Source organism: Homo sapiens, chromosome 10 (genome assembly GCF_000001405.40).
Source record: "Homo sapiens chromosome 10, GRCh38.p14 Primary Assembly".
Taxonomy (NCBI): Eukaryota; Metazoa; Chordata; class Mammalia; order Primates; family Hominidae; genus Homo; species Homo sapiens.
In genome coordinates, this window is record NC_000010.11 from 12,201,316 (window position 1) to 12,213,563 (window position 12,248).

Genomic DNA, 12,248 nt, shown 5'->3' on the forward strand with positions numbered 1-12,248 from the left:
AGAATATATAATGAAAATTGGGATAAGTGCTATGCAGAAAGTGGGGTGGTCATTACCCTTAAATTGCTGGGAGAGCTGAGGATCGCGAGGAGGGTCGGGGAATGCTCCGAAGAAGGATCTTTGGAGCCTCTGAGATGTGAAGATTGGAGGAATGTAGTCAGTTGAAGGGTGAAGGGAAGAATCTTCCAGGTGGGGGGAACAGCATTAATGAAGGCTCTAGGCCTGGAAGATCTTGACATACAAGAAGCTTGGGAAAGGTCATGTAGCTAGAGTATGGGGAGTGAGAGAAGGGTAAGTGGCATGAGATTCACAGTTGATGACATGGGGGAGGACAGTTAAGATTAGGGGTGTGTGTGGGAGTCATGTTAAAGATGCTGCAATTTATTCTGAGAACGTCAGGAAGGCATTGAAGGGCTCTGAGCAAGAGAATGACTCGATCAGATTTCAGTTTGCAGCTGTGGCAGGTGACTGTGGAAATGGAAGACGGGTTAGGAGGATATTGCATTTGACTGGGTGAGACCTGCTAGTGGCTTGAACTAAGATGGTGACAGTGGGGTTGAGGGAGGAAGTGGGTTTCAGAAGATTGGGAGCTTGCACCTTCAGAACTTGATGACAGGAATGTGTCAAGAATTCCTCTCAGATTACTAATAGAACAACTAGATGAATGAAGATGGTCATTTGCTCAGGTTGAGAGAAGCATTGTCTGTGGAGCCTTTTTGAAACCTCACAATCTGTTGAGAATTTTGAAAAGTTAGTGATTTTAGGTTAGGTTACTTCTACAGATAAAAACTTGAAAATTTTAAGTATAATTTAAATGAGGTACATTTATGATAAAATGTATAGGTCTTAAGTGTACAACTTGGCGAATGTTGCTAAATGGTTACACCTGTTTCACCGTCACTCCATTCAAAACATGGAACACTTTCATTCCCCAGAAAGGTTTCTCTTGTCCCTTTCTTAGTTCAGTTTCGTCAGTTCTAGAATTTCGTATAAGTGGAGTTATATAGTATGTATTCTTTTATGTCTGTGTAAGTGGAAAAAATGCAAACCGTTTTTCCTCTGCTCTCACACCACAACAATCAACACAGAAGACCTCTGTGACCACATGTGTGGGGTTTTCTTCCCACCAAGAAGCAATCGGTTCTGCAGCAGACACCAGCTAAGGGTCCTCCAGTCCAATTCAGTTGACACTGTCTACCTGGAGGAGCATCAGATCCCACAGGTTGAGGCTCAGTCTCACAAAGACTGCCCCCCACTCTGATGTCAGCTGCAAGCCCCAGGTGCCTCTACCTGTGCAACTGACCAGGCGGCTAGAAATGAGGGTCCCTCCTTGGGTTTGATTCATTTGCTAGAGCAGCTCGCAGAACTGAGGGAAACATTTACTTCGGTTTACCGGTTTATCATAAAGGATGTTACAGCCCTGGTGTGGTGGCTCACGCCTGTAATCCCAGCACTTTGGGAGCCCAAGGCGGGCGGATCACTTGAGGTTAGGAATTTGAGACCGGCTTGGCCAACATGGCGAAACCACATCTCTACTAAAAATACAGAACTTAGCCAGACGTGGTGGCGCACTCCTGTAATCCCAGCTACTCAGGAAGCTTAGGTAGGAGAATCACTTAAACCTGGGAAGTGGAGGTTGCAGTGAGCTGAGATCGCACCATTGCACCCCAGCCTGGGCGACAGAGCGAGACTCCGTCTCAAAAAACCAAACAAACAAAAATAAAGGATATTAATAATGGATACAGATGAAGAGATGCGTAGGGTGAGGTGTAGGGGAAGGGATGCAGATCTTCCATGCCCTACCTACACGTGCCACCTTCCAGAAGCTCCATGTGTTCAGCTATCCGGAAGCTCTTTGTACTTCACAAGAAAGTGGGAGATGGCTGTGGAGGTCTGCCATGGACCCTAATTCTTCATGCCTCATCCTCCATTACTTCCACATATAGTACATGCCTTTCTTTCCAGACTCTATAAGGTATAGTCTTGTTTACAGTTAGAATTTAGCACATAGTCTGGGTTCAATAAATATTGGTTGAATGAGTGAATGAACATGCTTATCCTACTTTCTCTCCATGGTAACCTCTACTGAGTTCAGTGAATAGAATAGGCCAAGTATGATGACTAGTTTACCTTGTTTGCCGACTCAGATCTAATGGTAATGGTTTCCTGGAGTGATATGTAGAGGATTCTGAGGCTGCATCCAGGGTTCGGTGAGAAAGCATGCTTGGTTTGATTCTCGTTGCCTGCTGTGGGTGTAGGAAAGGAGGCTGGCAATGTGCTTTTCTGATAGAGACAGTGATTCAATTTCACTGAACAGTTATTGCATGCCTAGTATGAGATGGGCACCAAGGAAACGGGCACCAAGCTTGATACTAGCGTAACAAGATGAGCAGGGCATCCTACCGTAGGAGTCTAGGCTTATTAGCAAGTCAAACATAAATAAATAAATAAATGTCTTGAGTTGTGTTGCGAAAAATGTTTTTGAATAAAAGCATCAACCAGCTGTGGTGGCTCATGCCTGTAATCTAGCACTTTAGGAGGCGGAGGTAAGAGGATCACTTGAGGCCAGGAGATGGAGACCAGTCTGGCCAACATAGTGGGGCCCCATCTCTACAAAAAAATAAGAAATTAGCTGGGCGTGTTGGCACACACCTGTAGTCCCAGCTGCTCAGGAGGCTGACACACAAGGATGGCTTGAACCCAGGAATTGGAGGCTGCAGTGAGCTATGATCATGCCTCTGCACTCCAGCCTGGGCAACAGAGCAAGACCTTGTCTCAAAAAAAAAAAAAAAAAAGTATCAGGTATTCTGATAAGTAATGTATTTGGGGTTTAATTAATCACTGTGAGCTGGGGTCATCCAGAAAGTGTTTACAGTAAGGTGATACTTGAACTGAGCCCACACACTGGGTCTGACGCAGGTGGTACCTCCCTTCCAGGCACTAATCCTCATTGTTTCTTCTTGGTCACGAGTTCTTTCCTGACCTTGTCTCCCTTAAGGCTGAATAGTAAAATGAGTTGAGCATCCCTAATTAGAAAATCTGAAATCTGTCCAGATGGGTGCTGAGATAGTGACATTTTTGCTTTCTGAATATTGTATAAAATTACCTTTGAGCCATGTGTATAAGATGTATGTGACACTGACACATAAATGATTTTTTTAAATTTTTTAATTTTTAGTTTTTGTGGGTACATAGTGTACATATTTATGGGGAACAAGAGATGTTTTGATCCAGGAATGCAATGTGACATTAGCACATCGTGGAGAAAGGGGTGTCCATCCCCTCAAGCATTTATTCATTAAGTTGCAAACAATCCAATTACAGTCTTTATTTTTAGATGTACAGTTATTATTGACTATAGTCACTCTATTGTTCTGTCAAGTAGTAGGTCTGTGGTCGGGTGCTGTGGCTCATGCCTGTAATTCCAGCACTTTTGGAGGCTCAGGTGGGCAGATCACCTGAGGTCAGGAGTTCAAGACCAGCCTGGCCCAACATGGTGAAACCCCGTCTCAACTAAAACTACAAAAATTAGCTGGGCATGGTGGCAGGCGCCTGTAATCTCAGCTGCTCAGGAGGCTGAGGCAAGAGAATCACCTGAACCTGGAAGATGGAGGCTGCAGTGAGCCGAGATCGTGCCACTGCACTCCAGCCTGGATGACAGAGTGAGACTCCATATCAAAAAAAAAAAAAAAAAAAAAAGGTCTTATTCATTCTTTCTACTTTTTTTGGTACTCATTAACCCCCACCTCCTCACAGTCCCCTACTACCCTTCACAGCCTTTGCTAACCATCTTTCTACTCTCTATATCCATGAGTTCAATTAGTTTTTAGATCCCACAGATAAGTGAAAACGTGGTGTTTGTCTTCCTGTGCCTGGCTTACTTCACTTAACATAATGATCTCCAGTTTCATCCATTTTGTTGCAAACGACTGGATCTCATTCTTTTTTAATGACTGAATAGTACTCCATTGTGTATATGTACCACATTTTCTTTATCCATCATCAGTTGGTGAGCACTTAGGTGGCTTCCAAATCTTAGCTATTGTAAACAGTGCTGCAACAAACAGGAGTTTACGTTTAGACTTGGGTCCCATCCCTAAGATATCTCATATATATGCAAATACTCCAAAATCCCAAACACTTTTGACCCCAAGCATTTTGGATATAGGATCCTCAACCAGTAGATGCCAATTATAAAATACATTAGGCATATTCATATTTTGATTCTTCACAATTCTGTGAAGTAGTTGCTATTTTCCCAGTTTTATAGATGGCATATTGATGCAAAGTTCTTGGCTGACAGTGGCAGAACTGAGATATTTAAACTCTGTCTGCCTGCCTCTAGAGCCACTGCTCTGGTGTGCCAGCTCTGTGTAAGTTGTAATATAGAAAATATAGCATCCTAAATATTAGCACCATACTTTATCCATTTAGTTCTCTGCATGCAGAGGGTTACCTTAGAAAGCCAAGTCTAATAAACTTTCACTTTTTTTTTTTTTTTGAGGCAGAGTCTCACTGTGTCACCTAGGCTGGAGTGCAGGGGCACGATCTTGGCCCACTGCAACCTCTGCCTACCGGGTTCAAGCGATTCCCTTGCCTCAGCCTCCTGAGTAGCTGGGACTACAGGTGCCTGCGACCACGCCCAGCTAATTTTTTTTGTATTTTTAGTAGAGATGGGGTTTCACTATTTTGGCCAGGCTAGTCTTGAACTCCTGACCTCATGATCCACCCGCCTTGGCCTCCCAAAGTGCTGGGATTACAGGCGTGAGCCACCGTACTTGGCCAAACTTGCATATTTTTATACATTGTCACCTTTTACAGTGAATAAAATTTGTCATACTTTACAGTAGGCACTGCAATAATTTCTGAAGAACTATATGAATACCTTGATAACAAGTATGTTTTTTAAAATGTATGTTGTTATACTAACAAATATGGTAAGTGATTTTTAGAGTGGTAGAATACATTTTCATATTTCATCTTATATTGTAAGATTAGGTAAGCAGCCATGTTAAAGATAATGTTGCATTTGAAAATATTATGTGGCATTTAAAGAGAGACGTAAGAGAGAAAGGCTGGCCCCTTGGGCAGGGATTCACACGCTGACAGTGTGTTAGTATTTCCACTATAGAACAGTTCTTAGCTTTGACTGGTTCTTAGCTTTGTGAATCTGGAAAAGCAAGAATTACAAAGAGTTGATTAAAACTTGGGGAAGGCCGGGTGCAGTGGCTCATGCCTGTAATCCCAGCACTTTGGGAGGCCAAGGCGGTTCGATTATCTGAGGCCAGCAGTTTGAGACCAGACTGACCAACATGGCGAAACCCCATCTCTAGTAAAAATACAAAAATTATCTGGGCATGAGGTCAGATGCGGTGGCTTATGCCTGTAATCCCAGTGCTTTAGGAGGCCAAGGAGGGCGGATCACAAGGTCAGGAGATCGAGACCATCCTGGCCAACACGGTGAAACCCCATCTCTACTAAAAATGCAAAAAAATTAGCCGGGTGTGGTGGCGGGCGCCTGGAGTCCCAGCTACTCGGGAGGCTGAGGCAGGAGAATGGCCTGAACCCGGGAGGTAGACCTTGCAATGAGCTGAAATCACGCCACTGCACTCCAGCGTGGGCAACAGAGCGAGACTCCATCTCAAAAAAAAAAAAAAAAAAAGATTGGAAGCATTATTGTATCCATTTTTGCCCATTTAAGGTATTTTTTCTCCATTTATTGTGTTAAGTACTTGGTGAGCCCTTTCATTCTAAAGACTTTAATTTTCCTGTTTCAGGATATTAAAAAAGAATCTTTGATAATTTCCTCTAATTTCTTGCTTCTCTTTCTGGATCTCCTATTATTTTGGTGTTTGATCTTTTGGCTTAATTCTCTGAATTTTATTATTTCTTCTCTATTTTCTCTTTCCGTGTCTTTTTTGTTCTACTTTGTAGGTAATTATTTTTCCATTCTATTGAATTTTAAAATTTCAACTATCATGTTTTCAGTGTCTACAAGTTCCTCTGTTCCTTTTTTATAGCCTCCTGTTCTTCCTTAATGGATGTGACATCTTTTATATTCGAGGATATTAATGATTTTTAAAAATATCTTTCATCTGGTCCCTTTATTGTCTTTTTTTCTTCCATGTCCCTTTTTTCTCTCCTTTTTGAAAACGTTTTTCATCTTGGAGTTTTTTGTCTGTTTTCTAATCATTGTAGGCCTTCCTTCATATTTAAGAGTGAGGAGGACACACACAGATATTTGCAAACTTTGTGTACCTGGGTGGAGCTTGATGCCTGAGGATGCCAGCAGGCAGCAAACATTGATGGAAGATTCCCAGATAATGGTGTGTCCTCTGGGGTTGCTCAGTTTCTGCCCAGAAGAATCCTTTAATCTGTCTGTGTTGTGGGAGCAGGGTGGGAGGAAGGGGACTAGGGGTCGCAGTGTTCAGTTTGACTTTCACATAACTTGTCATCATAGTCCAGGTCCAGCATTTCACCCCCATATTCATTTGGGCCATTATGTACCTCAACCCTCTTGAGTTCATTTTTTCCAGAGAATAAATCTGCTTACCAAAGGGGCTGAGGAGAATTAGTTGCTAGGATGTGCAAGGTAAGGAGATGGATATGTCTCGCTGCTCCCTGGATGGACTTCAGAGCTTCCTTTCCATGTTCCAGGATAACTCTTAAGTTCTAACCTGTTGCTCCTTGGCTTATTCCTCCCCTTGACTTTCTGTTTTCCAAACTTTTGTTGCCCTCTTTCTTCTATGGTTGATTCCTTTTCACTCAGCATTGTCCTTGGGATCTTTTTTTTAGTAGAGTTTCCAGAGGGAACACAGAGATAAAAGCACATGTTTAACCAGAATCTTCCTTTTCCTTTTCTTTCTTTAGTCTTTGCATAGCTGCTATGCTAGTTTTTATGATTATTTTTCTCAATGATATGAGTTATTCCTAGGCTAGTTATTTGTAGTTGTGTGTTGAGGAGGGGCCAGAGTGGTGTTCTGAGTCTTCCCTCTGAGTTCTTTCAGCCTCTGATTCCCTCTAGGCAATGAAGATGGGCTGCTGGGTGGCCCTTTTCAGCCCTTGTGTTGCAGGTGAGCAGTGACTATTTGGGGCCAATGGTGTGGGTGGTAAGAAGAATTTACCATGACAGTTGGAGGCAGAGAAAGGCAAATTTATTAGAGAAAGTGTGAAAATATGTTGCAAGGGTACAATGGGCAGGTCAGCAAGAAAGGAGCTGACTGCAGGGAGACAGAGGCTTGCTGGGGATTTTATAAGATGGTACTTGTGCTGTGTCCTGAAGAGGGCTTTGTGCAGCGCTGATAATGCCAAGGTTGCAGTGAGCTCACTTGCATTTTTCTGTCAATTGAGGGTGCGGTAATAGCTGGGCATGGAAAGATAGTGAGTTACTTGCGCAGGAGGGCTGTGTGTCCTGGACCATGAAGAAAGGCAGACTTACAGCTTATCTGCCTTGTCTTTTTGCTTTCTTCTGCTCCCGCCAGTCCAACTCCTCTTCCCTAATGAGGACTGCACACCTCGCTTTGCTTCTGCCTTCTTCAAAGACAGCATGCCTGTTTATTTTCCCCTCTCTCTCTCACCCTTTGCTGTGGTTCAGTCTAGATGCAGAATGAATTTCTGACACCAGCCCGCACACCCTGTTTTCACTGTGCAAAGAAAAGATTCTTGGTTTTGCCCCCACAGTAGTTCCATCATCTGTGTAGACAGGTCTTCAGACATTCGCTTCTGGTGTCTTCCTTTATCCTATTCCATCTTTCCTTTCTTGAGAGAACTTTCTCATATACTGAGGTTCAGAGTCTAGATGATTCTCAGTATTATCAGCAATGGAGTCTTTTTTTCCCTTTCCCTTGTTTTTAATGATATCTGAGAACAGGACAGAAAGGTTTTATTCTGTCATCTCTTCATGCAACTGTACTCTCATTTATTTATTTCTTCTTTTTTTGAGACGGGGTCTCACTCTCTTGCCCAGGCTATAGTGCAGCGGTGTGATCTTAGGTCATTGTAGCCTCAAACTCTTGGGCTCAAGGGATCCTTCTGTGTCAGCTTCCTGAATAGCTGTGACCACAGGTGTTCTCCTTCACACCTGGATAATTTTTAATTTTTTTGTAAAGACAGAGTCTCTGTGTTACCCAGGCTGGTCTCAAACTCCTGGGCTCAAGCAATCCTCCCATCTCAGCCTCTCAAAGTGCTGAAATTACAGGTGTGAGCCACCATGACTGGCCTTGTTCTTCAATTTTAAGGCTTTTATTTTTATTTATTTATTTTTGAGACAGTGTTTTACGTTGTCACCCAGGCTGGAGTGCAGTGGCACGATCTTAACTCACTGCAGCCTCGACCTCCCATGTTCAAGTGATCAGTCCTCCCACCTCAGCCCCCCAAATAGCTGGGACTACAGGCGCATGCCACCTCGCCCAGCTAATTTCTGTGTATTTTGTAGAGACAGGGTTTTGCCATGTAGTCCAAGCTGATCTCTACCTCCTGACCTCAAGCGATCCACTCACTCAGCCTGCCAGAGTGCTAGGATTACAGGTGTGAGCCACCACACCTAGCCTAATTTTAAGGCTATTTAAAAACATATACTCAGTACCCCTGAAATTAGGAGCATGCGGTGCCCAAGTCCTTTTCTTTCTTGATGTTTGTTTGTGTTTTTTTAGGGATGATCCACCAACACATTCTCAGCCAGACAGTGATGATGAAGCAGAAGAAATACAGGTTGGTACCAAATAAAATAATCTGTTCTGTAGACTGTTGTAATTTAAATGATCTCTGAGATGGTTCTGACTTGTAGATCTTATCTTACATCTGATAAAATGAGAAATTACGTGAGAATCTTACTTTGACATATATTTTCACATATGCTGTATTCCGGAAAAGATGTCTCCTGTTTGATTTATAATTTTTAGATGGAGCACTGCTTTTTGAAGCCCAGTGCAGTATTTAAATTTAATGTTTTATTTTTTTCCTCTTTTTCATGCAGTGGTCTGATGATGAGAACACAGCCACGCTTACGGTAAGAGCACAGCAGACTCAGCGTGGGGACAGCCTCACACTGTCACACAAGGGTTAGCGTCAAGGTTTAAGTGCATACCTCTCTTAAATTCCTAGTCAGTCACCATCTCATATATTATTTTCCCTGTGGGCTGTCGTTTTTATTTTGAAAAATAACTTGAAGCATCATTTAGCAGGCAAACATGATTTGCCCTTTTTCCCTTTGATTGCAAAGGAAATATTTCGAGTGCGTATTTGATGCCTTGACTTCTGTTAAGCTCTGACTCTCTGCAAGAAGGAATTACGCCTAACATTAAACTCTGAGATTCCTAAATCTCTGGAACATAAAGTGAAAATCTGTATTTCCTTATTCAAGTATATTTATTTAGTTAGTTAGTTGTTTTGTGTATTTATTTTTGAGACAGATTCTTGCTCTGTCGCCCAGGCAGGAGTGCAGTGGTGTGATCTTGGCTCACTGCAACCTCCGCCTCCCAGGTTCAAGCTATTCTCCTGCCTCAGCCTCCTGAGTAGCTGGGATTACAGTCACCTGACACCATGCCCGGCTAATTTTTGTATTTTTAGTAGTGACAGGGTTTCACCATGTTAGCCATGGTAGTCTCGAACTCCTGACCTCATGTGATAACACCCGCCTCGGCCTCCCAAAGTCCTGAGATTACAGTTCTGAGCCACAGCACCTGGCCTCAAGCGTATTTAAATGGCATAAAAATTACTGTTTCTTTCAAGCGAGAGTAGAGAGGTATGTGACTTTTACCAGTGTTTTACATAAAAATGTAGAAGTTATCAAGCATATTACAGTGTTTCAGGATAAGAGTGCTGTTGTGAAAGTTAACCTAAAATTTTTTAAATGAAGGTATTTTTAAAGGAGTGAGTGAAGCAAATGATCTATTTCTAAAAATAGGTGAATGAAACTCCTCATACCTTGAGTTGACGGGAAAGTTTTTAGTGAAACTCCTTACAAGTAAATGTAAAGGCAGAAATACAGAAAACTAGTTTTGTGGGAGGGTCTGTTCTAATCCAGCTCTAGATAAGAAGATACTTGTTTATTTTAATGAACAAGATATGATTGCCAGGATAGAAGAAAAAAAAAGAAGTGGAGCTGCTCAAAACTGACATATTTCTTTAGATTTAAAAAGGGAAGCCTGCCAGCAGGTGCCTAAGTGGAAAGTTTGCGTGTTTCATTTACTCCAGATGCCATTCAGATCACTCTCCTTTTATGAAAATTCCATTCAGTGTCATGTAAATGTTACTTATCTGCCATACTCAGGGCACTAAACTAGATTCCGTGAGATGAACAAAGATGAATATGATTTCATTTCCACCATTAGGGGTTTGTAAACCAGTGGGAAAGGTGACACAGGCAGGGGGAGATGACAGTGCTGTCAGATCAGAGACAGCAGTTACAGCTGAGGGCACCAGAATGCCTGACAGGACAAGTGGTATCTGACCTGGATTTTAATAGTGGTGGGGAGTATCAGTATCAACTCATTTTTAAATATGTATAGATGGGCCTGGCGCGGTGGCCGATGCCTGTAATTCCAGCACTTTGGGAGGCCAAGGTGGGTGGATTACTTGAGGACCAACATGGTGAAACCCCGTCTCTACTAAAAACACAAAAAGCTAGCCAGGCATGGTGGTAGACGCCTGTAATACCGGCTACTTGGGAGGCTGAGGCAGGAGAATTGCTTGAACCCAGGAGGTGGAGGTTGCAGTGAACCAAGATTGCGCCACTGCACTCCAGCCTGGGTGACAGAGAGAGACTCCGTCTCAAAAAATAAAATAAAATAAAATAAATATGTATAGATGATAGATACAGCAATTAATAATATAAAGGTGTGTGTGTGTATTTACCAAACTCTGCTCACTAAGAAGTTTTAGAATCAATGACATGTAACATCCTGGTAGCAGTGAGCACGCCTGATGCCTTGATCTTGGTTTCTAAATACCATTCTCCACTAAACAAAATTGAAGCTTCTTGGAGATATTCTGGACTGGGATTGGGAAAGTAAAAATGAGCCTGCAACAACTTGTGCCAGAAACTGTGGAAGTGCTGAAACAATGATGTGACATGACAAAAAGATGCCAGAAGCTAGCTTTGGGCTCTCACTGTCTAAAAATATGAGCATCATAACAAATAGAGTTTGAGTATTCTTAATCCCCAAATTCAAAATTGAAAATGCTCCAAATTCCAAAACTTTTTAAAAAGACTGACTATCACTGTGTTGCCCAGGCTGCACTCAAACTTCTGGGCTCAAGTGATCCTTCTGCTTCAGCTTCCTGAGTAGCAGGTACTGCAGGTGTGTGCCAGCATGCTTAGCTCCCAAAACTTTACGAGCACTAACATGACACCACAAGTGGAAAATTCCACACCTGACCTCATGTGACAGGTACAGCCACAATGCAGGTGCACAACCCAGCTCATTCAGCCTCCCCAAGGGAAAAATGAAATTACCTTCAGGCCGTGTGCATAAGGTGTATATGAAACGTAAATGACTTTTGTGTTTAGATTTGGGTCCCATCCCCATTATGTATATGCAAATATTCTGAAATCCAAAACACTTCTGGTCTTACCCATTTTGGATAAGGGATACTCTATGTGAAGTATAAGAATAGGTTATGACCTATTGACTAAAATAAGAATTGCTGATCCCATAGTGACATACATAAGTGATTAAATAAGTGGGGAAAAAAGGAAGCTTGTCTTTATAGTACTAAAGGCACTAACTAATACATGTAGTAGGAATGATGGAATTAGGAATTACTATTTGGCAACCATTGTAATAATATTTGATTGAATAGATGCTAAAATTAGTGGGTGAATATACAGTGAGAAAGAGGATAGTTCCATCTTTTCTAAGTATCTTCACCCAAATTACTTACTGTTTGCGCAAAGAAAAATAGTAATGTTACAATGCAAAGACCTGGCAGCCAAGTGATCAGTATTAACCTTGTCAGTGATGGGACAGACCTGTCATGTGTGCCTCCTGATACGATGCATGGGAAGGACACCACCTGTCACAGCTGCGCAGCCTGAGTCTGCTTGGGAGGAGACATCCAACAGACTCAACTTTTAGAAATTGTATAGAGTAGTTGCCCTGAACTTTTCAAAAACGTCAAGGTCATAAATGGTAAGAACAACAGAGAGAGGAACTGCCACAGATTGAAGAAGATTAAAGGGACCTGACAACTAGATTTAGTCCATGATTCTGGCTAGACTGGATGCCTGGACCAGAAAAAAAGTTTCA

At 42.3% G+C, this 12,248-nt stretch overlaps 1 protein-coding gene across 2 annotated transcripts in view; it reads left to right on the forward strand.

The window, feature by feature from the left end:
* CDC123 (cell division cycle 123) overlaps positions 1–12,248 on the forward strand; it is a 54,402-nt gene that overhangs the window by 5,128 nt on the left and 37,026 nt on the right. For both annotated transcript variants that reach the window (NM_006023.3, XM_005252638.5), the window contains exons 3-4: positions 8,652–8,709; positions 8,975–9,007. In NM_006023.3, coding sequence (NP_006014.2) covers positions 8,652–8,709; positions 8,975–9,007 — 91 coding nt within the window. The remainder of the gene's footprint in view (positions 1–8,651; positions 8,710–8,974; positions 9,008–12,248) is intronic.